Source organism: Homo sapiens, chromosome 11, assembly GCF_000001405.40.
Source record: "Homo sapiens chromosome 11, GRCh38.p14 Primary Assembly".
NCBI classification, from domain to species: Eukaryota; Metazoa; Chordata; class Mammalia; order Primates; family Hominidae; genus Homo; species Homo sapiens.
Window position 1 is genome coordinate 90,004,577 of NC_000011.10, and position 26,529 is coordinate 90,031,105.

The 26,529-nt window shown below is 37.7% G+C and overlaps 1 pseudogene; it reads right to left on the reverse strand.

The window, feature by feature from the left end:
- TRIM64HP (tripartite motif containing 64H, pseudogene) lies at positions 19,522-19,933 on the reverse strand (annotated as a pseudogene).

Below are 26,529 nucleotides of genomic sequence, written 5' to 3' on the forward strand. Positions count from 1 at the left end.
GCATTGAACCTATATGAAGATTTTAGCAAAAGATCCCCTAAAACAAGTGACACTAAGCCATTTACTGCAAGTAAGGACAGTAACACAGATTCATGAAAACAGAAGGTCAATAGTAGCCTAAAGCTCATGTCAGTGCCTACATCATTCACCTCATTTCAATTCATCATGTAGTTAACGTATCATCTCACATCATCATCAGCTGTATATTCCATAATCATTTACATTCAACATGTTGCGTTTTATCTCTTCATTTATTCCATATCTCAAAACCTGAGGAACAAGGTCATCTGTCTGGGATTTAAGTTACAGTATAGGAGATCACCTTAAATAATTATTTATTCTTGTCTATAAGAAAATATTTCCATAATCATGTTTTTCTTGATTTACAAATCTTTCATGATTTTTTTTGACTATTACTTTATTTTTATTTTCTATGCTCTCATCTGGATTTCTACAATAGGTATCTAAATGTCTTTCTGCCTTCAGAATAGCGTCTTTCCAACAAGCACTCTAACATTCTCAGTCCCATGGGGAGACCACGAGGTCACATTCCTTTGATCCAATTTTACCCAGTTTCTGGCAATTCCTCCAATGCACTTCATGTTCTATCCTTTCTCATCAATTGGACCTGTGAGTCTTTGCCTGAAAAGCTCCCCCCGTCTGGGCTCAATAGAGTGTCTTTTAAGTATAACCCATGGAATGTCTGCCTTGGGGCCCGTGATTGACCTAGCAGCACTTCCTCTGGGCTTCTCTAGTCCCTGTGTATTAACAATTTATTTTCTTGGCTAGTTATAGAAAAGTTTACTTGAACCATTCCTATGATACTTGAATTGGACCCTCATTGTAGTTTATGAGTGGCAAAGAAGGGTCTGAGTATTCCAGCAAAGAAGTATGTAAGGAACAAATTATGAGAAAACATTTAGGAATAGGGAAAAAGGGCTAGGTGCGCTGGCTCACGCCTGTAATCCCAGCACTTTGGGAGGTCCAGGGAGGCGGATCTTCTAAGGTCAGGAGTTCGAGACTAGCCTGGCCAACATGGTGAAACCCCTCTCTGCTAAAAATACAAAAAATTAGCTGGGCATGGTGGCGGGCGCCTGTAACTCCAGCTACTCAGGAGGCTGAGGCAGGAGAAGTGCTTGAACCTGGGAGGCGGAGGTTGCAGTGAGCCGAGATTGTACCATTCCACTCCAGCCTGGGTGACAGAGCAAGATTCCATCTCAGTAAATAAATAAATAAATAAATAAATAAATAGGAATATGGAAAAGAGGCAGATGAAGATTCATAAACCAGGAGCATACTGAAACTGTTCTGATGTATTTGCATATGCTGGAATGATGATTGTGAGCTTGTCTAGAGACTTCAATGATTACTCTCCTTATAACAAAGCAGAAAGCCTTCCTTAGAATTATCTGGGCTGACATCATTCCTTGTCCAGACCTGTTAACAGACGTCTGCAACCCAGTGCTGTGAGTCTCAGTCCCAACAATGCAGAAGGCCTGAGATCCTACAGAAATTATCCCTGAATTTCTGAAGACTTTTAAGGCACAATAATTCATGGATCCTATGAATTTCATGTTTTTTAAAATATCAGATTATGTGAGGTTTTTGAACAAATTAACTTCCAGGATGATATCCACCACCGAGACAGAAAATCAGTCTAAAGAATTATAATCTCAAAGTCCAGAATGATGAAAAAAAATGTTTTTCTTAGAGCTTCCTTCTAAGTGTCTTCCATTTTTCTTGAGATATAAGTAGTAGAGAACAATCTCTGTCTGATACATCTGGCCTAGTCATATGTAAATTTATTAATTGTAGAAGAAAGAATTATACTTCTAAAATAAAACGGCTACTTAAAGCTTTTTGTTGTTTTTGAGGCAAAGTCTCACTCCGTCACCCAAGCTGAAGAGCAGCATTGCAATTGTAGCCCATTGCAGTCTCAAACTCCTGGAATAAAGTGATTCTTCCACCTTAGCCTCCAAAGTAGCTAGGACAACAGGGGTACATCACCAGGCATGGCTAATTTTCTTTTTCTTTTTTGTAGAGATGGTGTTTTACTATGTCTCCCAGGCTGGTCTCGAACTCCTGGCATAAAGGGATTCTTTACACCTGTTGTTTACGTTAGCATACAACGTGAACTGCAATTCTGAATTTACTTTTATAGCAGGTACTAACATAGCTTATACAATACTATAGTTGAATAATCTTTCCCCATCAATTTTTGCTGTATTCTTTGTTACTAATACTTGCTTATATATCACTGAACCTATTTCTGGGTCATCTACTCTTATCTTTCTATGTATCCTTACATCAGCTCCCAGGATTTGATATTTATATAATGATATTCTATTTAATACACAGATGTTTACCCTCAAAATTCTACTTTAAAGAAATTACCTTAGTATTCTCACCAAGTATTTTTTTCCTTCCATCTTAAAATGTTGTTCAAATTGTGTTCTACTTTTTTGATTTTACACAGAATTAAGCATAAATTAATCACAAATGTTTAACATTTTCAAAATTAATGGCCTCATAATATTGTTATTCTGGATAAATAGAGTTTTGCCAGATGAAAGTGGAAATAAGGAACTCTATGTAAAGGTAATGACAATACAAAGGTAGAAAGAAATCAGACTTTGAAAATTCAATTGTTTGGCTGAATATGATACATAGATACTAAAAACAACATGAAATAAAACTAGAAAAAGCCAGGGTCACAGAGTGGAGGGCTTTCAGTGTTAAGCAGAGTATGTTGTAATTAATCAGTTGGTAGTAGGGATGCACTGACATTTCTGAGCAGCACAAATCCAACTTATTATGTCAAAAATAGGTCTTTTGAGATAGGGCAGCCCTGCATAGGATGCACTAGAATGGAGAGGCAGATGCCAGAGTTCAGAGACTGATCACAGCAAGAACTTCCCAAGTCTCTTTCAGCAACACTGATGTTAGTTAACATTTCTTTTTAATTGTATCTATTATAGGTATATGAAGAAAACATTTTTCAGATAATTTGAATGTAAATTTTGTCCTTAATAATATAAATTATTTGTACTGTTTAAATAAATAATCCCAGATTACTGAGATATTTATTTTCCCTTCCTTGCTTGTGAGGATACAACCAATGCTGAAAAGATGCTTTTTTTACTAGAGTACCAAAAATATTTGTTAACTATATGATATTCAGAAAAAGCATAAAGACAAGATGATGAGGGCACAGAATTATCAGAATTACTTTTCACTATTCTCTCTATTACAAGTTGAGCATTCGTCATTTAAAAATCCAAAACGTGTATTAAAACATCTCATGCACCCCACAAATGTATACACCTACTATGTGCCCACAAAAATAAAAAATTAAGAAATTTTTTACAAAAGGGTCAAAATCTAAAAGTTTTTGAGCAGCAACATGACATTAAAAGAAAATGTTAATTGGAGCATTAATTTAAGCAAATAATTCTAGCATATCCTAAAAGATGGGATATTTTAGGATATGTATTAGGATATGTACTAGGGATGTTAAACCAATAAGTATACTGCAAATATTCCAAAATTTGAAAAAATCAAAAATCCAAAACTTTTCCAGTCTCAAGCATTTTATATAAGTGATAATCAACCTTATAATCTGTTGAATTGTATCATATGTATAGATTACATATTCTAAAGAGACATCATGTTTTGATGTCTTGCAGATTTAATTTTGAGACACACAGTAGTATTTTATTTATGAACCCAAGTAATGCTTTTCCTTTATCAGCTTTTAGAGCATTTTGAAAGTTAATCTTTAACATAATGGTTGAAAGACGATGCTCTTTTATTTTCAAAACAATCCCACATTGAATTCAGTGGGGAATTGTATTTGATTCTTTACCTAGACATGCCAGTGAACTCCGGGGAAGGACTTTTTTTTAGTTAAGTTTTCATAAGGAGATTTACCTTCAAATCTTTCACTGGGGCTTTGCAGCTACACAATTTAAAAGGAAAAAGAGAACACATAGAAATCAGATATATTAAATGTCCATTAAACAGAAGTAAATAACTAAACCATAATTTGGCAAAAACAAGGAATGATATCTGCACATTAGTAACTGTTAAGAATTATAATAATGAGTTTCTGACAATATGGAAAAATACTGATGTTGTTATGTATAGGTGCAACTATATTATTAAAATAAATGCATAAACCACATAGAATAAAAAGTCTGCAACTAAATAGTACCAAGACATTGTCTTTAGATGAATGGTTCTATCATATTATTTTTTGGTCCATTTTGCTAAATTGAAAGGGACAGCTCTCAAAAATATTTACCTTTCTCTTACAAAAAAAGAAAATAAAAAGTAGCAAACTAGTTAAGGTAAAGAAGAAGAGAGAAGAAAGAGAAGGAGCCTGAGCTTCTAGGATGCCTCGCTTTGTACATAGGTAATCTGGATGATTCCACCAAAACGTATCTATTTGTTTGCTGGACTTCATTGAAATCTGGGAGTTTTCCAGAATTAATCCATTCAGAGATAAGACAGAAGGCAGAGACTAAAAACAAACAATCTCTGTAATATCCAAGTGATCATGCACCTGGATGCATAAGCATAGTGGAGGCAGAGGGATAAATAATCTTTTGGAGTCCTCAAGTCGCAGAAATCTCCTAATTCTTCAACACCAGTAGATAGAGCCATCCAAAAGCAGGAGAAGAAGCCAAGTAAAATCTGGAAGAAGGAATGTTAGAGAGTAGAAGTTGCAAGGGCAAGCTTTTACTGCTCACTGGACAGAGCAAACTCTTAGCTTCAGAAAGAAGGAGTGAAGGTAGACAGAGTGGCCCTTGCTCTGGGACCAACACAATAGAGCACTTCCTAATGGCCCTTCCAAAATTGCCCAATCTAACCCTGCTGGAGGAGAAGGCTGTGAGGTTTTCTGGCTCCTAGAGTTCCTCTTGGAATTCTAAATCCCAAATTCCCTGTCTGAACGAGGAGCTTCTTACCTTTTTCTTCCCAGTTTTTCCAGAGCAGATGAGCCAATATTGCTCCATGCTGAGGTCTTGAAACCATCCTTTTAAACGCCATAAAATTAATCAGGGAAGAAGAGACTGGGAGAAATAAAAATAAACCAAGCTTGCAACATTTTTAGAATAAATTATTAGGTGAGCTAGATCTCTGAACTGCTTTCTCCTAGTCATTTATTGCCTATTTCCTAGAATCAGGTAGACCCCAGTTTATAGTTCTCTGCGACTGTTCTATCCTGCATCCCAATTAAACTACAGACTCTGTGGTGCTGACAGTCCCCAGAAGCAACTGACTCGCCAAATAATGCAGTGTCCACATCCTGATAATTTCATACCCCCTTGCAGCGACCAATCAAGCAGAATTTTCCAGCCCCTCACCTTCCACAATCCCCTTAAAAATTCCAGCCCAGAACTCCTTGGAAAGATGGATTTGAGGGTCTCCTCCAATGTTCTCACTCAGAACACTGTGATCATTAAAGTTATTATCTGCTGCAAATCTCCTGTCTTAGTGTGGTTGGCATGTTACTGCACAGTAGGCTGTTACTGTACAACCTGTTGGTCCTATAACAATCTGGCAGTTCTAAACTCCAGCACAGCCTTCTGTGTTATGAGGAAGTCATATACTGTTTTTTAAAGAAAAAGGATGCAAAATATTTATTGACAGATTGTTAGCTACAGTTATACATTTTAAACATTTGGACATTTGTATGTGGGCCTCTATTTATTTCCTTGTAGTGGTTTACAAGTATGAGAAGATGTCTGCAAAAAAGTTATTACCAAAAGTTTAACAGTCAAAAGGATGAGCTGTGTGGAAAGAATACTGGTAATTAAGTGAAGCCATGTTTTGACATGCACATTTTTCTAGGCCGTTGACTCTTCCCAAGTCATCTACTTTGATTATTGCTTATTTCCTCATTTTAATATTTAGTTTACAAAATTTTGTAAATAGTATTCAAACAAAAAAGGCAAAAACGTGGGAAAATAATAAAGAGTAATTTTAAATGAAAAACTCACTTCCCAACTCTACCAAAACTGAATAATGAAATCTGGATGCCTTCCTATTCTGAAGTGTTTCTTACCTAGATACAGCTCTAGCCATGAAGAGTTTTTGGAAGAAATGCCTTTCTAAGCTTTCCACAATATGAGTGTATATATTCCAGGTAGACCCTATTAAGGTGCTGTTAATTTTTTACCACTGTGCTTTTTAAAAACGAGCTTAGATTCTAAAACGCAACTAATCTCTCCTGTGGCAAATGATTTCAAAAACATTAACAAGATTTCTTTTATCAGTTTTTAGCAGCATAGTATCCTCAGTAAAGTGCATAAATGTGTGCTTATTAATAATACACATTACCCAAAATTATTTATAACTATTCTCTAGGATGATGGGTAGAGTAGACAGAAAATAGTTGGCACAGCAGTAGGAAATAAATGTGTCCAGATAGATCCTTTTTCAACCTTGTTCCAGACTAGGCTAACAAACTCTCAAAGAGAGATCCAAAAGGATCAAATTATTTCCAAAAAACTCAACAGTGCTCACAAATAGCACTCAAAAATATTTTTAAAAATACATTTGCAGTAAAAAAATTCACTATGTCTGTAATACAGTAAAAAATTACCAACAGAGTAAAGAAGTACAAAAAAATGCCCATAAAGAGAAAAAAATAATCAATACAAATTAAAACAGGATTGACAGAGATGCTAGAATTAGCAGATCAGGACATTACAACATTTGAAATAACTATATTTTTTATATTTTTTTATATTCAAATAAAGTATGTAGAGATACGGTAGATGTAAAAAGAGAAATTTGTATAAGAGACATACAATCTACAACTTCTTAAATGAGAACAACATTGACAGGGATTACAGGCTGATTAGATTTGCATCGTATTAGATTACAAAGTGTGAAGAAAAGGAAGGGGAAAAAAGTTAAACTAGAGCTATAGCAATATTCATCATAATCTATTAGGTTGGTGCAAAAAGTAATTGCGGTTTTGCCATTACTTTTTTTTTTCTTTTTTTTCTTTTTTTTTTTTGAGACAGAGTCTCACTCTCTCGCCCAGGCTGGTGTGCAGTGGCGCGATCTCCACTCACCGCAACCTTCACCTCCTGGGTTCAAGCGATTTTTCCTGCCACAGCCTCCCAAGTAGCTGGGACTACAGGCACCCACCACCATGCCCGGCTAATTTTTGTATTTTTAGTAGAGATGGGTTTTTGCGGTATCAGCCAATCTGGTCTCGAACTCCTGACCTTAGGTAGTCCACCTGCTTCAGCCTCCCAAAGTGCTTGAATTAGAGGCGTGAGCCACCGTGCATGGCCTGCCTTTACTTTCAATGGTAAAAACCACAATTACTTATGCCCCACTCTAATAATTGCTTAAAATCAGTGACAAAAAATGAAAGAATAAAATAAAGGAAGGAAAAAGGAAGAAAGGGACCGAGGGAGGGAGGGTGGGAGGTAAAGGAAAACAGACATAATCTTCAGAAAAAAAGAAAAAAATGTCAATTAATTTTTTGTCAGGTATAGTGCAAGTGACTAGGAATGGAAAACATCCTTGAAGTAACAATAAAGAAAAATATTGTCAATCTGAGTTCTATACCCAAGGAAAATCTTTCCAAAACAATACATTTTTTCAAAGAAAAATAAAGTCCTTATTCAGACGCAAAAAAGCTGAAAAAAATCAGACTCACATTGCAATACATACACACGAACACACAAGCACACACACACACACACACACACACACTGAAGAGCACCAGAAATTGTAATTGCATAGATAAATATGTAAGATTTTTAATTCACGCAACACTTTTTAAAACTAAGCCTTAGTTTCTAAGTCTTTGATTACCATTCATAGCATCCAAACTGCCTATAAAGTTCTGTGAACCTTTATCCTCTTCCTACTAGTAAGTGTAAAGAATAAAGTTTGTTTCTATTTGTGTCTATGTGCAACACTTCTTCCATTGCACAATATCAAAGATAAATAATATTAATATCCTGTGTCACTGCAAGTAGATTATGCAGATATACAAATAAGTAAGTATAACAATATAAGTTTTCTGTCTTAATATAGAAATATCCAAGACATTTCTGATGGAGGTTATCTGGAGGAAGTCACCGAAACCCGGATCTTTTATATTGTCACTGTTTTGCTGGAAAAGGTCACTTGAATTGGTTACTATGGGATGCAATTAAATAACTAACTTTTGACAATCTAATGCATATTTACGGTAATGTACTCTTTGATTTTCCATCTTCTGAAATACTAATCAATTTAAGCATTTTCTCCAACGTTTAATGGTTCTCTTTACTTCCTCTTTAATAGAATAAATAGAATAAATAATCTGTTCATTCCTTGGACCATTTAAAATAGAATAATTTACATTTATGTTACTGAGGGGTAGGATTATTAAATGCATAGTTTTTGTATTTTATATAATAACATTATACAAAACACACATTTTGGCAATGCCTTCAAAAATATTTTCTGAAATAGAGGGGGTCTTGTGCCATGAGATTTAAAAAATATTCTTTCCTTACACTAGAGATGAATGCATCAGGTCACGTACCATTTTATAAATACAGAACCGATTGATTTGATTCCTTCTAATTGATTTGTTATAGAGACATTCCTGGAGAGAAAATGCATCTGATAATTATTCCATGATTAATTATATCTTTCAATTATCAACTATGTAGTATTGCTAATTTTAAAATGACATTGTGGACACAAATTTCCAACTCTGAACCTGACTCATATATTTTTACATTTATTCTTATGTTATCTTGCAGGTCAAACCATTTTTTGTGTTTGATTACCCATTAAAAGAATATTAGAAAAATAAGCTATCACTGTACAGAGGATATCAAGGAATCAGTACTTTAAAATTTTATTTTTAATAGACACATAATTTTACATATTTGTAGGGTAGATAGTGATGTTTTGATACATATGATGCATAGTAATCAGATCAGAGTATTTAGCACATTGTCTCAAACATTTACCATTTCTTTTTTTTTAGGGAACCTGCAATATCCTCATTCTAGCTATTTGAAAGTATATATTACTGTTAATTATAATCATCTTGCAATGCTATAGACCGTTACAACTTATACCTCCCATCTACCTATAATTTTGTATTTTTAAATTGTATTTATTTTCTCTTTTAGTATTCATTATATTTAATTATATTTAATTTTGTACCTCTCCCTATACCCTCTGCCTTCTACCGTTCCTAGCCACTAGTATCCTCTGTTTTACTTTTTAATTCCATGAGATCACTTTTTTTTAGTTAAGCAAGTGGCTGGTTATGAGTATATGCAGATGTTGTTCATATTTATAGAGAGTACAATAGATTACGCAGTGTTTTGTTGAACTATATTCTCTCCCTTGTTATATTGAAAATATTGCCACAATATACGTAATATATATATATCCTTGTGCATTTTTATGGAAATTTCCATACTAATGATATTATAGGTTTAAAATATATGTACACTTAAAAATTGATAAGTACCTCTAAATGTTCCTCTCAAATAGTTTCTTTCTAAGGATAACTAATAGTCACTAACTGGCCAACAAATATCTTTGAAATTCTGAGATGATTGCATTAATTAGAATGAGTATCTGAATTAGGATTAGGTGGGATCTTAATGATAAAAATGTGGGAGTGTCTGTTATTAATTAGCACACGGATTTATTGAGGGATGTTGCTATTCACACCTTCAGAAGTCACATCCTTGACATATTGAAAGCAAGACCCACCAATTTCTTCAAACTCCAAAGTTAATGTCGCTTTACGATAATTTTCCCCTGCATTTTCCCCCCTACATATCAAATACCTAAGCCAATTTGTCTTGGAATCTGTAGGGTTTTTGTTTGTTTCTTTGCTTGTGTTTTACTTTTTTTTTTTTTTAATTATACTTTAAGTTCTGGGATACATGTGCAGAAAGTGCAGGTTTGTTGCATAGGTATACATGTGCCTTGGTGGTTTGCTGCACCCATCAACCTGTCATCTACATTAGGTATTTCACCTAACGCTATTCCTCCCCTATCCCCCAACCCCCAGATAGGCCCTGGTGTGTGATGTTCCCCTCCCTGTGACCATGTGTTCTCGTTGTTCAACCCCCACTTATGAGTGAGAACATGCGATGTTTGTTTTCCTGTTCTTGTGTTAGTTTGCTGAGAATGATGGTTTCAAGCTTCATCCATGTCTCTGCAAAGGACATGAACTCATCCTTTTTTTTTTTTTTTTTTTTTTTTGAAGGAGTCTGACTCTGTCGCCCAGGCTAGAGTGCAGTGGTGCAATCTTGGCTCACTGAAAACCCCGCCCCCGGGTTCACGACATTCTCCTGCCTCAGCCTCCCGAGTAGCTGGGACTACAGGTGACAGCCACCATGCCCAGCTAATTTTTTATTTTTTTGTATTTTTAGTAGAGACAGGGTTTCACCGTGTTAGCCAGGATGGTTTCCATTTCCTGACCTCGTGATCCACCTGCCTCGGCCTCCCAAAGTGCTGGGATTACAGGCGTGAGCCTGGCACCCAGCCAAACTCATCCTTTTTCATGGCTGCATAGTATTCCATGGTGTATATGTGCCACATTTTCCTTATCCAGCCTATCATTGATGGACATTTTGGTTGGTTCCAAGTCTTTGCTATGGTGAACAGTGCTGCAATAAACCTAAGTGTGCATGTGTCTTTATAGTAGAATGATTTATTGTCCTTTGAGTATATACCCAGTAGTGGGATTGCTGGGTCAAATGGTATTTCTGGTTCTAGATCCTTGAGGAATTGCCACAATTGTTTCCTGACTTTTTCATGATTGCCATTCTAACTGGCATGAGATGGTATCTCATTGTGGCTTTGATTTGCATCTACTGATCAATGATTATGACCTTTTTTTCATATGTTTGATGGCTGCATAAATGTCTTCCTTTGAGAAATGTATGGAATCTGTAATTTTTGCTTTTGTTTTCATTATTTTTTAATCTGTCTGGCATGCCAGTTCACATTCTCTGCTCCCTTCATCCCTCCTTCCTTCCCTCACTATGGCCTCTATTTCTTTCCTAATACCACCAACAGGTCATTCTTCAAAGTTTCACTTTTCAGGGAGAGTCCTGTAAAATAGTCTATTTACAAACTTTTAACCTGGGATGTATGACCTTGGTTCAATATTGTCTTTTGGAAATTCACAACAAATACCACTATTCTCCAAGTACAAGTTTCTGTATCCACAGCTAATTTCAACACCTACCACTCTATCCCAGCTTGCTCTGTCCAAACCTGGTAAAGTTCTTAATTTTCTGACCCCTCTTTTCTATCCAAATGAAAACAGATTCCGAAACTTTTGTAATAGGGGACTGAGGGATCTGGAGACTGCAAGACTGAAGGACCACAGATGTGCTGGAATCACCGCTGGCGTCGGGCTTCAAGAGAAGCACAAGGCTCATGCATAGTCTCCAGAGGTTTTTATGTTTTCTGCCTGGCTTTCTTCTGAGCCTCCTGTCTCCTATGCTGCTGTGACCCTTCAATTTGGCTGTAGCCTTTACCACCACCTCTGGCTTTGGTTCCATCTTTTTTTCTAAAATTACGTTGATGCAAGAAGTTTTAAAGGATGGTTTTCACAGACTTTTTAAGAAAAGGGAAATTCGTTGAAAGCATTAAAGATTTACCTGCCTGCAGACTCTTAACAACACTTAGGAGTACACTATTTCTAGAGCCATATGAGTTAGCTTCCCAATAAGAGGGAAATATCCCAGAGGCAAGGATGGCTTCAGACAATTTAAACACAGCGTCTCTACTTATTTGCTTACGGAATCTGAAGGTTTCATTAACTCCAGATCTGACTCACAAGCTGTTTATCCTTTGCAAAGAATGGCACATAGTCAGGATGGACCAAATTTATCATGAAAGACAATGCACAATTACTGATCTTTTATTACCAAGACTCCCAATTTGAAGTTAACATTGAAGAAAACATAGCTGATAATAAAATGACTTTGATAAACCAGTGGTTTTTCTGAATCCAGCATTTATGAGAATATTGAAGATAAGAATCAGCCGCGTTTGGTGGCTCACATTTGTCATGCCAGCACTTTGGGAGGCTGAGGCGGGCATATCACTTGAGATCAGGAGTTTGGGACCAGCCTGGCCAACATGGTGAAATCCTGTGGTCTCGATTAAAAATACAAAAATTAGCCAGGGGTTGCTGTAATCCCAGCAACTCAGGAGGCTGAGAATCGCTTGAACCCGGGAGGCGGAGGTTGCAGTGAGCCCATGTCAGGCATCTGTATTTCCAGCCTGGGGGATAGAGGGAGTCACCGTCTCAAAAAAATAAAATAAAATAAATAAATAAATAATCTACGCTAGAAGCAAAAAAAAAAAAAAAAGAAGAAGAAGAAGAAGAATTTGTTCAGCTAAAAATTATTTGCATCAAAACAAACTTCTTCAAAGCTTTTCCAGTCTAAGTTTACATTTTATGATGCTACTTTGGAAAGCATGCAAGGGCCATTGAAACAAAGAACTATAATTAAGCATATATGTCAGTAAGACAGTACAGTTTACTCTTATAACTAATATATTTTGCACATTTACAAAAATCTGCAATTTTTAGTAACTGATGATCCAGACCATATTTTGTATTATTTGCTTTGCATAAAGTGTCTACAATACACAAATCCACAAAGATCTAAAGTACAAAAGGGATTGTGAGTCGAGTGGGTGGGGAAGGCGCAATGAATAGAGAGTAATGATAAAGAGTTTTGGGTTTCATTTTGGGGTATATAAAATGTCCAGGAATCAGACAGTTATGGTTTTTCACAACTCTTTATTAAAGTAAAATTTAGGAAACAAATGTATAATGTCAATGTGGTTATCCCATTTCATACCCAGATAATAATTTTGTTTCCTCAAGTTACAGTGAGCTCAAAGATGCTCACACATTGTCCTATTGTCTCACATGAGAAGGTCTCGAGATTAGAAGATTTTTCAGGCAAGAGAGCTCACTAGGAAATCATAATGAAACCTGACTTTCATGGGGAACCAAAACAAAAGAAAGGTGTCAAAAGGGAAGACAAAGAGAAAGGGAAAAGGCTGTATATGAGGGAACCTTTTGAAACATCATAAAAGCTCACAACTGTGTTGTCATAATCCAGAAACATCCCAACCCGACCCAAAGGTCTTTGCACATAGTGAGTTAAGGGAAGAAAGGTGTTGGAGAGGCTATAAAGGCTGTTTCTCTTTGAAGAAAATTGAAAAAATGCTTCCTCAAAAGCAGGAACATGATTTGTGTTTGCTGTCCTGGAATCTTTACAGACTCCTAGAATCCAGCTGGAGGACTGGGTTACATCCACTTCCCAGTAATGCCTGCCAGAGGAGAAGGCCTGAGCTCCCCATGCTGCAAAGTTCTCTGCTCTCTGGGACTCCCCGGGTGCACCATCATGGTCATCTCCAAATACCACATTTCTCACATCCTCAGAAAGGCTCATATAGTGACTCGTCTTTTCCTTACTCAGAGGATCATCCACTGCAAGAAGAACAAAAATCAGATCAAGGAGTTACGTGGGGGTCAGATGTTATCTGCCCAGGTACTGGCTTTATTTGTACCTCCTGTAAGTGACAGACAGAATACATGGAGCAAAAAGACTTTGGAGACTGTCATCTATGAAGATCAAGGGTTATTATGACTTCTACAGCACAGGAGAATCCTTAAAATCACACAGAAAAACAAATAAACAAACATATCATTAATTGTGTGAATCAATGATTTAATGTCTGGCTTTGCACGATTCGTTTCAAGAGATATGTAACATTCTTTATTTATTTAGTAGAAAATGCCACTTGCATTGTTTGTATTCAATATAATTAACAAATAGACTTCACTCTGCTATGATGCTCTTGTTTAGTGGGATATAAAATGTGCCTGTTACTTTTGTTTTGTTTTGTTTTGAGACAGAGTCTCACTCTGCTGCCCAGGCTGGAGTGCAGTGGTGCGATCTCGGCTCACTGCAGCCTCCTGGGTTCAAGCGATTCTGCTTCCTCAGCCTCCCGAGTAGCTGGGATTACAGGCATGTGCCACCATGCCCAGATCATTTTTGTATTTTTAGTATAGATGGGGTTTTGCCATGTTGGCCAGGCTGGTTTCCAGCCGTTGACCTCAGGTGATATGCCCGCCTCAGCCTTGGAGGATTACAGGCATGAGCCACTGTGCCCGGCCTCACCTCCTCCATGTTTAAACATCAGAATTTGATGGACTTCCATACATGTGCAGTTTAGAAGTTTCTGAAAATAATGATCATGTTCTGCTTTTACGTGACCTGGTCAGCCACTGCTTCATTCAGTCTAATCCCGGTTTTAGCCCTCTGTTGTCTAATGGCTGCCTTACATGTTTGGGCCATTTTCACAGAACCCTCAGCTTCCAGTTGTTGTGAAATGTATCTTACAGCAGTAAAGTTGTTCTGTTTATGGAAGTTTTAGTTATTTGGTTGGTCAACGCTTTCTAATTTTTATGATAAATATTATTTCTACAATATATGATAAATTCACAGAAATTAAAACTAAAATGGGAAACGGCTCAACCAAGGAATCCACTAAACAGAAGTTGAGGCTGTACTGCCAAGCAGCTGGCTCTTACCTCTGAATTTGTTGAGCATATCTAGCACTCCGGTGATGTGCCAGGAAGTGAGTTCTGGGTTCACTGGCTGGGGCTTTTCCATTTGCACCAAATCTGTCCTGCAAAGAACAACCTCAGTTACACTTTTAGGCCCAGGGATAATCACACAGTCATACAAATGTTTCAGATTTTCATCCAAGATATTTCTGGAGAAATCTCCCTTTTTTGTTAAATTCAGTATACATTTTATTCAACTGTATTGAGGATATAGCAATGTTACTTTTATCTAAATTTAACATGTTAAAGTCCAATTTCTCTATTCTCTCATACATGATCCTAATTTAAAATTACTGAGTGTCATTTCCTCCCTCTCCCCCTCCGGCCTCTTCAAAGTATACAGATATCCTGGGATTCTTGCTGAGAGAAGAAAACTCAGCCAAAGCCTTTGGGACCTCAGTCGGTAGTTGTCACCAGTGATGCAGTCAGGGTCTTACAGGGAATGCCCACTGACACTAAAGGTTTTGAACTTTTGTTCAAACCAAAGGAGTCTATTTTCAGCCTGTCAGCTCTGGCGCTGAGGATCCTGAGGCAGCCATTCCCCTCTTAGATTCTACCTACAACAGGGCAGTGCAGAGATGGAGCAGGGCCTGGCTATTGATATCCCTGGGAACAAATCCTCCCTCCCTTTCCTGTCCTTAGGGCATTTCCCTCTCTTTTTCACCTCTCGCCTCTGCCTCTCCAGAATAGGAGACTCCTTTGTGATAACTCAGAGTAATCTTCTTAAGATTTGCTGGGTTGAACTAGTTTACAGTCCTACCAACAGTGTAAAAGTGTTCCTGTTTCTCCACATCCTCTCCAGCACCTGTTGTTTCCTGACTTTTTAATGATTGCCATTCCAACTGGTGTGAGATGGTATCTCATTGTGGTTTTGATTTGCATTTCTCTGATGGCCAGTGATGATGAGCATTTTTTCATGTGTTTTTTGGCTGCATAAATGTCTTCTTTTGAGAAGTGTCTGTTCATGTCCTTTGCCCACTTTTTGATGGGGTTGTTTGTTTTTTTCTTGTAAATTTGTTTGAGTTCATTGTAGATTCTGGATATTAGCCCTTTGTCAGATGAGTAGGTTGCAAAAATTTTCTCCCATTTTGTAGGTTGCCTGTTCACTCTGATGGTAGTTTCTTTTGCTGTGCAGGAGCTCTTTAGTTTAATTAGATCCCATTTGTCAATTTTGGCTTTTGTTGCCGTGAAGAAGCTCTTTAGTTTAATTAGATCCCATTTGTCAATTTTGGCTTTTGTTGCCATTGCTTTTGGTGGTTTAGACATGAAGTCCTTGCCCATGCCTATGTCCTGAATGGTAATGCCTAGGTTTTCTTCTAGGGTTTTTATGGTTTTAGGTCTAACGTTTAAGTCTTTAGTCCATCTTGAATTGATTTTTGTATAAGATGTAAGGAAGGGATCCAGTTTCAGCTTTCTACATATGGCTAGCCAGTTTTCCCAGCACCATTTATTAAACAGGGAATCCTTTCGCCATTGCTTGTTTTTCTCAGGTTTGTCAAAGATCAGATAGTTGTAGACATGCGGCGTTATTTCTGAGGGCTCTGTTCTGTTCCATTGATCTATATCTCTGTTTTGGTACCAGTACCATGCTGCTTTGGTTACTGTAGCCTTGTAGTATAGTTTGAAGTCAGGTAGTGTGATGCCTCCAAAAACCAAACACCGCATATTCTCACTCATAGGTGGGAATTGAACAATGAGATCACATGGACACAGGAAGGGGAATATCACACTCTGGGGACTGTGGTGGGGTGGGGGGAGGGGGGAGGGATAGCATTGGGAGATATACCTAATGCTAGATGACGAGTTAGTGGGTGCAGTGCACCAGCATGGCACATGTATACATATGTAACTAACCTGCACAATGTGCACATGTGCCCTAAAACTTAAAGTATAATAAAAAAAAATAGAAAAAAAAAAAAAAAGATTTGCTGGGGCAGGGCTGGAGAAGATGGGGTGAGTGGGTAGAAGAAAATCCAGAATGGCACACTGTTTTTCGATACATATTCATTCAGCCAGATAAGAAGGAAACTTCTGAGACAAAGAAGCTTAAGTTCTCAGGTTCTCCTTTGAAACCAAAATGGAACATAGCCACAGATTAATGCTAAATACCTCAAAACATGTAGTTGACCCTTAAGCGACAAGGGTTTGAAATTTGGGGGTCCACTTATAAGTGGATTTTTTTCAATGAAAGTTTCACCTAGCTTGCCTGCCTCTCCTGCCTCCCACTCCATTTATTTTATTTCTGCCTCTGCCACTGCTGAGACACTGTCTTCTCTTCCTCCTCCTCTTCAGCCTACTCAATGTGAAGACAATGAAGATGAAGACCCTTATGGTGATCAACTTCTTAATGAGTAATAAATTTATTTTCTCTTCCTTACAATTTTCTCAATTATATTTTTTCTCCAGCTTACTTTATTGTTAGGATACAGCATATAATACATATAACATACAATATATGTTAATTGACTGTTTATGGTATCAACAGGCTTCCAGTCAATAAGAGGTCATTCGTAGTTTGGTTTTGGAAAAGTCAGAAGTTATACTTGGGTTTTCAACTATGTGGAATTGCATGAAGGTGGTTAGTGAACCTAATCCCCACCTTTTTCAATGGTACATTGACTTTCAAGGGTACATTGACTTTATCAATAAGGGAATGACTTTCTCAGCAATCAAAGTTCATCAGTGTAACTCACCATTCCAGTATGTTTTCCAAGTCCTGCAAAGAAAAACACAAGTACTTAATCATGAGAATTCTGTCCTACTTTCCCTAGTATTCTTTGTTGTTTTTCTGGGTTAACAAGGTAGGTTTATTGATACACCTCTAAGGCACCATCCAAGGCTGTGTTAATAACAGAACCTCAGCTGAACCATGGTGGTCTTCCTCAGTGGGCATTAGGAATGAAGGAGCTGAGAATAAGACTGTGGAGTGATGTACACAGCTATCTAGTTCTCAGTGTCACTCATCTCCCAGGCTTAATCCCAAGAAGTGAGGACGTACTAGGGAACTTAAATTGAGTTTTATTAACAAAGCTAATATTCTCCTGGCCTAGCATTTGGTTGATTTTGGATAACATTTCTTTGTGGCTAGTACTTCTGATTATACTGAAGAGGATTTTGTCCTACGTGATCTACCAAAATGGCAAAAATCTCCCAAAGATTACCAGAATATGCAAAAATAAGTCACTGGACAAACGCAATGACAGAGTCAAGGAGCATGTGTCACTTTCTAAGAGTAGTTACATTTGCAGGTAGCATATGAATGTCCTGGCAGCATTGCCCAACAAAGTCTTCCTGACTCTGGATGATGGACCCTCCCTCCTCATCTGGAGCAGCTTCACATCCGGCATGTGGCGCATCTCCCACAGCTCTCTGTACATGCCTTTCGTCTTTTTTATATGTTGGGTTATTCTTACTTCACCGTCTTGGAGTTGTCGAACAATCTCTTCTGCTTCTCTGTCCATTGTCTCCAGATGGCGTTGCTCCTCCTCCAGGAGAAATTGGCGCAACTTCTGATATTGTTATCTGATCATCCCTTTCCTGAGGGCCACATAGTCCTGCAGAGATACTCAGTTAAAAGAATTGCATCTCCTCACTCTCAACAAAACACTTAACACTTCAACTGTTATTCTCCTAGGATATGCAAGCAGTAAACTCCTAAGCTCTGTGTCTCATACTTGAAAAGGTTCTTGAAGATTTGCTAGTCTCCTCTACCCATCCTTTCTTCATGTTCCTCCTAGTCTCCCTTCCTGTATAAATCAGTACCTCAAAAGGACTCAAGATCCCTGCCTGTGATGCTTCTACAGGATTCTTACTTCATTAATTATTGTCTTTTTTACCTGGTTCTTCTTAATTTTCTCTTGTTCCTTTGCCTGATCCTTCTAAACATTTTTAAATATTTCAGTATACGCTCTACCACTGAGTTTTTAAAGAAATTACTTCAGGTTTTGTTTTCCCCACTAATTTCTCTATTTCTCTCCTCACCTTCACAGCAAAACTTTAAACTACTTGATGTGAATACAACGCTTTAAACAGTTCAATGCTATCCCATTCTCAGTGCCTTGGAAGTTTTATCTAAACCCTCAAGGTTACATCAGGAATAACTATCATGCCCTGTTTATTTCATATACATGTACATACTAGTATTTTTTGCACCAGCTCCTGTTGGCCTGTATAATGATAATTGCTGATATATCATTTGAAACCACTGTTTTGTTTTTTTCTGGGAAGAGGACACTACTATTTTTTAACTGGTAAGCAGAATTCAGCTAAGAAGTCTAAGTTAGCATTGTGCCAATCTACTTTAAAAATATAAAACCTTTTTATCCCTACCGTTAATGAATGGATTTTGCTAATTTCCTGATTTAGATTGTTTTGCATTTCTTGAGTGCTCCTCCATAAATGATCCATTTTCTTCAGAAGTTTCTCCTGCAAAATAGACATGACCTTTAGTAGCAGATACGACGTTACTGGATATGTTATTCCCTTTTTATGAGAAAAGCCTGTTGTTGAGAGAATGGTAAATTTGAGTCCCCCTGAAGTGGTCAGAGTTTTTACAAGTTAACCTAATTTGATTTTAATATTTGGAATATAAGAGGTAACAGAAACATATAATAGAGAGTTTGAGGAGACCCAACAGCTAATCAATTTTTTAAGAAATTGGATTTCATATATCCTGGCTCTGGGGAAGTCAAGCTTGCAGCAAAAACAAACCGTGTTCCTAGGACACATTTATATCTAGAGATTTATATTGAAAATTCAGAACCTCACCATCTCCATTCTCTCCACCTTTATTATCATAAGCTCTCATTTTCTCTCTCATTTAGGATCATGTGGATTCCCGGTTGCATTGGAGGTGTCACTTACCCTGCACTCCTCAGCAGCCCATCCTATTGGGCTGTGGCCATAAGCCTCATGCTCTTGTGACTCAGAGCAGGGCCCACAGAGGAGTCTCTCCTCTGCCTCACAGAAGAGCCCCTTTTCCTCTTCATGTAGCACACAGATCTGCTTCTCTGAGCTGTTGATGTTGTGAGGTCTGCGCTGCCTTGCAAGAGAAGCCAACTTCTTGAGAACAATATTGGTGTTGAAGTCAGTCTTCTGGGGGATTTTCCCACACACAGGACAGCCCTTTGGAGCTTGGCCTTCCTCCCAGCGTAGACAAAGGCAGGGCCTGCAAAAGCTATGCCCACAGTCAATGGTGACTGTGTCCGTTAAGTAGTTCCTGCAGATAAAGCAACAGAGCTCCCTCTGGAAGGTTTGCAGTGTGTCTGAATCCATGTTTCTGGAAATTTAAAACAGAAAAATTTAAGTGAGAAAATTATTTTTTGACCACATGGAGGGGGAAGGGCCTGTAGCTAGTTCTTCTTGTCTGCTTCAGCTCTGTTCAATCTACCCGTTAACTTAAGCCCAGTACAGACCTAGATGTGGTAAATACAGGCAAGCTAGGTTTATACTATAACACAAGTGGAAAAATGAGACAAGCATCATTTTAGTTTAAAACAAACAATGTTCTCAATTATAAGTTATTTGGGCAAGCTTAATATTGGGGTAGAGGGGAACAATTAGGATAACTTCACAGTTACTTCTATTAGCTGATTGTTCCAGAAACCCATATAAACCCATCTCTCTCTCTCTCTCTTTCTTTTCCTCCATGACCCCTTGAGTGGAACTTATACAGGGATACTTAGTCTCACTCTCTGGCACCCAAGTAGCAGATGTACTTTTCTAAAGACAATTAAAATTTGGTTAAGTTTAATCTAAGTGTCTTTAGTTTAATCATTGTGGGCTTCAACACTCAACTCCTGTAACTATAAACAGCTGAACTTATGCTTCTAATTTTAATCCCAAAATTCAACCTTTACATAAATACAACGAAAAATTGTTATTTCTTATTCAAGACAATGTTTTTGCTCAGAATGAGTTCAGACCATCAGAGTATCTTCATATTTTGAAATGGTGACTACGCAAGCTATGAAAGTACTCAGCAACAATTAATCAATTTTTACTTAAACCAAAAAAGAAAGTAAACACTCGAATTTTTTCTTTAAAGAATCCAGAGATGTAGTTAATGGAAGCATGACCACCAATTTATCTTTATTCCCTGTGTTTCTCCACAGTGATCAAAGTCCCTACTTCCTGGGAGTCTTTACCAGTTGATGGGATCTATTTGAACACTTTTCAAATCCAGTCTGCTCACTGAAGATTTGAAAAGGACTACAAACATAACCTTTACAACAAGGGTTTTCCAATTAATCCTACACATTTAACACTTACACTGATGACATGTAGTATACTACAAAGCTACAGTAAGCAAAGCAGCATGGTACTGGTGTCAAAATAGACAAGTAAACCAGCGGAACAGATCAGAGAACCCAGAAACTGTTACACCTCTCTACAGCCAACTGAATTTTGACAAAGGTAGCAACAGTATTTACCAGGGAAAGGACAGTCTTTTCAATCAACACTGCTGGCAAAACGGGATATTTACATGCAGGGAATAAAATTATACCCTCACCTCTCATCCTATGCCAAAATCAACTCAAAATAGATTGAAAACTTTAATGTAAAACCTGAAAGAACAAATCTACTGGAAGAAAACATAGGAGAAATGCTCCAGAACATTAATCAGAGAAAAAATTGTATGAATAAAATCACAAAAGCCTAGTCCACAAAACCAAAAATCAACAACTGGAATTATATTAAACTGCAAAGCTTCTGCACAGCAAAGGAAACAATCAATGGAGTGAAAAGACAACTGACAGAATGAGAAAAAATATTTACCAACTATTCACTGGACAGGAGATTGATACCCTGACTATACAAGGAAATCAAATAACTCAATAACAAATTAAAAAGAAAAAAAACCCCAAACAACCCAATTAAAAAATGGGCAAATGATCTGAACAGACAATTAACATATGCCAATTTACAAAATAAAATTGAAGTGGAAAAAGACTATTCCGTATATGTAACATATTGAAAATTGTAAGCTCTTTTTGGATTCCATAATTACACAAATAAGGTGGAAATATAGCTGCTAAGACATAACATGCCAAATAATGCATAAGGTAATATAATACAAAATGGGGGCTAGGCATAGCCTAGCCTCTAGGCTCTAATCCTGGCATTGAGGAGGCCAAGGTATGAGGATGGATTCAGGTCAGCAGTTCTAGACCAGCCTGCGCATCTTATTGACATCTTATCTCTACTAAAAATTCTTTTAAAAATAATGCTGGCGTGACGGCACATGCTTGTAGTCTCAGCTACTCAGGAGACTGTGGCGGCAGGATTGCTTGAGCCCAGGAGGTCCAAGGTGCAGTGAGCCATGATAGTGCCATTTCAGTCCAGCCTAGGTGACAGAGTGAGACCCTATCACACACAAAAAAAAAAACCCAGTCAAATAACTTGATATAACACAAACCAGTATATTATAAATGCTCTAATTACAGATATTTTAAATAATGATGTTACTTCAAATAACTGGGTAAGCTACTTGTTTGCTTAGACAAGATGTAAATGTCCTGGCCGGTGAGTTTAAAGTATTTTTATCAGAAAAATTAAGCATGAAGGGCTTCACTACAAATGTCATACACACCAGAATCTGCGATGTATTGTCTCAAGTCTAGAAGATTCGTGGATATCCAGGTCAGCAGCAACACTGAGCTCACCAAAGCCCAGCCTCCACGAATTCAGTCTGACTTCTCTGGAGAAGTCTTCCCTGGACAACTCTGCTTTTTAAGTGATTAGACTCACCTAAGAACACTCTCACTTCCTGGGATTGGCTACTGTCTGGAGAAAGAAGTGGAAATGGAAGATTAGGTTACACAGAAGGGTGTAACATTGGGGAAGGGTGTAACATGGGGTGATCAGATTTATAAAGTACAGACAATCATGCCTAGGGGATTATAGCCCAACAGAAGGTAGAGGATTTTGGAGTGAGATGCAAGAATCTTAACCTGACATAGGTTGTTCACAGACATTACAACTGAAACAATTATTTCATTAAGTAATGTTTTGTTTCACAAACAATGCCCTCACAATTAAAAACAATTGCTTTATTATTTTAAACTGAAATGTATCATCTATATTTCCATTAAAGATTTTTTATTTATTCTTCAACAAGCATATACTAATGACAATAAACTAGGTATTAGAAATAAATTATATTAAACCATAATAGACAATTTCAGTCCTGCTAGAACATCCAGACTAGTGAATGAGATGTATCATAATTAAAGAATCACACAAGTAAATATACAATTAGAACTATAAGCTCAATAAATGAGCAGTACATGTTTTCAGGGTCGGTAGTAGGAGGGAGGTGCTGAATGCCAGCTTATGCCAGGCTTTTATGAAGATATGAAAGCATTGAGATTTGAGGAATAGGAATACATTAACTTGGCAAAGAGAGATAGAGAGAAACTTTCTTTGCAGTGACAGCAGCAGACGCAAAAGCTTCCTGGATGGAGGAAGCCTGGTACAGTTGAGCTCCAGGCCACCGGAGCTAGAGTGACAAGAATGAGAGTGGTCTGATGGGAGATGAGGCTGCAGAGGCAGGTACGGGCATCAGAACATGGAAAAGATGAGTTTGCTATCTAGAAATATCCAAAACCTGAAATTCTTCTGGCCCTAACATTGTGAATAACAAACAGTCAACTTGTATTACATGGTTTTATAATGGATTTATTTGAAAATGTGACTGAAATCTGTGGATGAAATTTTACAAACATCAGTTTAAGCCAAATAGTATTATTTTGTATAGCAGAAGGGGATACACTGGGTTTATTTCTCCACAGCATCCAAGTAGAATGTGACAGGGGTAAGGAGGAAAGATTTCTGTATGTAGTACTCATGATCCTTTGGGCTTAGGGGAGGTAAAAACACAAGATATGCTAACCTTACATTCTGCTCTGTTCCTTGGAAATTTTATAAACAACACTTACTGTTGTTTATAAACAAGAATGGATTCCAGTGAAGGGAAATGGCTAAGTCCATGAGCACCATTAGAACTGGCAGGGTTCAGGAAAGAATGTGAAAACTCTACTCCACAGTACTCGTTTTTCTATACTGTGCTAGGAAAGATGAATGGAAAACAAATTTGGCAATGTAATGTCTGCGAACAGGATACACAGCCAGATATGGGAAGAATAAAATATAAGAATCTTGTGTCTACTGAATCTAGAGAAGAAAATGTTCTGTTAACTCTTTGCTATGAAAATGCTTCGAGGCTGGGAACCGTGGCTCACGCCTGTAATCCCAGTGCCTTGGAAGGTCGAAGCAGGAGGATTGAGTCCAGGAGTTTGAGACCAGCCAGAACAGCATAAGAAGACCATATCTCCACAAACAATTTAAAAACTAACCTGAAGTGCAGGTGTCTGCCTGTAGTCAGAGCTACTCAGGAGGCCGAGGTTGAGGATCACTTGAGCCTAGGAGGTTGAAGCTGCAGTAGCTATGATCCAGCAACTGCTCTATAGTCTGGATGACAGAGTGAGACCCTGTCTCTAAGAAAAGAAAAAAGAATAGAAAAGGAAAAACATGATTGAAATCTAAAACCTAGAGTGCTGTTTGTAATTGTTGCCTCCATTATTTTCTCAAGGAAGGAAACCTATTTGATTCTGATTTTTACAGCCTAATGATAATGTAGCTATATTCAAGAACTCAATGTTTCATTCATCAGAGGAAGAAACTTCAGAATGTAGGCTGAACCTCACCTGAACACACAAGCACAGAAGGAATCATATGTGTTTCTGTGGCTCTAAGTGAGAAAATACATTGAGAGATTTGAGGATTTATGGAGTTGACGACATGTAATTGATCCCTGAATCCATCCCATACAGGAAACAGGACCATAAAAAGATTGCTTACGACCGGGAGCGGTGGCTCACGTCTGTAATCCCAGCACTTTGGGAGGCTGAGCCGCGCGGATCACGAGGTCAGGAGATTGAGACCATCCTGGCTAACACAGTGTAATCCCGTCTCTACTAAAAGTACAAAAAAATTAGCCGGGCATGGTGGCGGGCGCCTGTAGTCCCAGCTACTCGGGAGGCTGAGGCAGGAGAATGGAGTGAACCCGGCAGGTGGAACTTGCAGTGAGCCAAGATCACGCCGCCACTGCACTCCAGCCTGGGCGACAGAGTGAGACTCGGACTCAACAACAACAACAACGAAAAGCTTACCTTTTATGTGCTCATATGTAAAGTTGGGACAATGCTACACATATTGCATGTTTTCTGTGGAGATTAGGAACAATGTGTGCATGGAGACAGCACAGTAACTGGTACATCATAGCCCATGTATCACATTGTCCCCTTCCTTTTTCTAACATATTTCTCTCCACTCAAATAGATAAGAGGTTTCAAGAGAAAATGACTGGGGTTTGTAGAAAAATAGACAATAAACGGGTAAAACAATTGAGAAGAAATGCAAAAAAAAAAAAAGCGTTAAAGAAAAGATAGCCCTGGACATTCAGGATCCAGAAAGCAAAATATAAATTTGTGGAAAATTAATAAATTTTGTTAGCATGGGAAAAAATATGCAGAATTCTCTCCATGTGCGCAAATAAAACAAACAAAATGTCAAAGTAGTTATAATACCTAGGTTTTAAATGGTATTTATCATAGAATGGCATTTTTATAAAAATTTAAAAATTTCCAGAATTAAATAAAGTCAGATTTCTACATATGTTAAGGAACGAGAAATAGATCACCAACTTTCATACAAAGATTTTCCAATGAGTTTTAGAACCCAGATGAACAAAAGAGTCTATTACCAGATTCTCAAAAATAGATGTGTAATTCAACAGAAAACTTTGTGGTAGAGGTAGGTTTCAGATGCTAGAATGGAAACAGTCTCATGTACAAAAAAGTATCTTTTTTATTAAAAGGAGAAGCACTGGGAAATAAGGAAATATTCCAAATTGGCTGGAGTGTCCTTTATCCACATCACGGATTGTTCTTGCCTATACCCACCTCTACTCTCTCTTCTGGATTGGGTAGGACTTTTGGAACCTACAAAATGCCAACTCTAAAGAGAATTACTTTCTTATATTTGTTTCATGGTCTGAGACTCAAGTAGGAAAATAGGTTGTTTCCTTGATAATGCCACAGTAGACAGAGGTAGGTCTGTAATTGAAAGCTCCTAATTTCCAGTGCTCTAGGCTTCAACTGCCTAAAGCTGAGTGTTTGAATAAGTGAATGATGTGGTGCAAAAAGTGGTTGAAATAAAATCAGAAGCTACCTACCTTCCTTTCTCTCCTTGCCTTAATTCCTTCCTGATACACAGCATCATCAGACCTTGTAATGGAGTACCAGGGCCCCGCCACGGAGCTCCAGAATTTAAGCAGAGAATGTCCACAGGATCAAGTCCATGACCCAGGGTTTCACAAGTTTCCCACTCTGGAGTCCAGGACTGAGCCAAGAGGGCCCCCACACACAACCAGCACAGATCTTACTTCTGTGTGGACACTTTGGTTAATTACTTAGATTTATTGAGGTACAGAATGTGCATACAGGGTGGTCAGTCAGTTGGTGGTCTTGGATAGTAAACTGACAATAGAACAAGAAAATCTATTGTTCAATTCCTTCTATTTAATTAAATATAAACTCTGGATGATTTTATGATGTGTCAACTTGAGTACATGTATGTACAAAGAGGGAAATGAGGGCAGTAGCCATTTTGTGGCATAGACATACCTTATTATTCTTCAATGAAACACTTACTTAAGACCTGCTGGAAAGGCATTTTGCAGATGCGAGCAAAGGTCCTAATCCTGTAACTAGGAAGTGTACCCAAGTAAGCCTGACTTCATCAGTGAAAGTCCTTTAAAGAAACACATAGGCATTCCTTGAACAACATTTTAAATGGCAAATGGGACT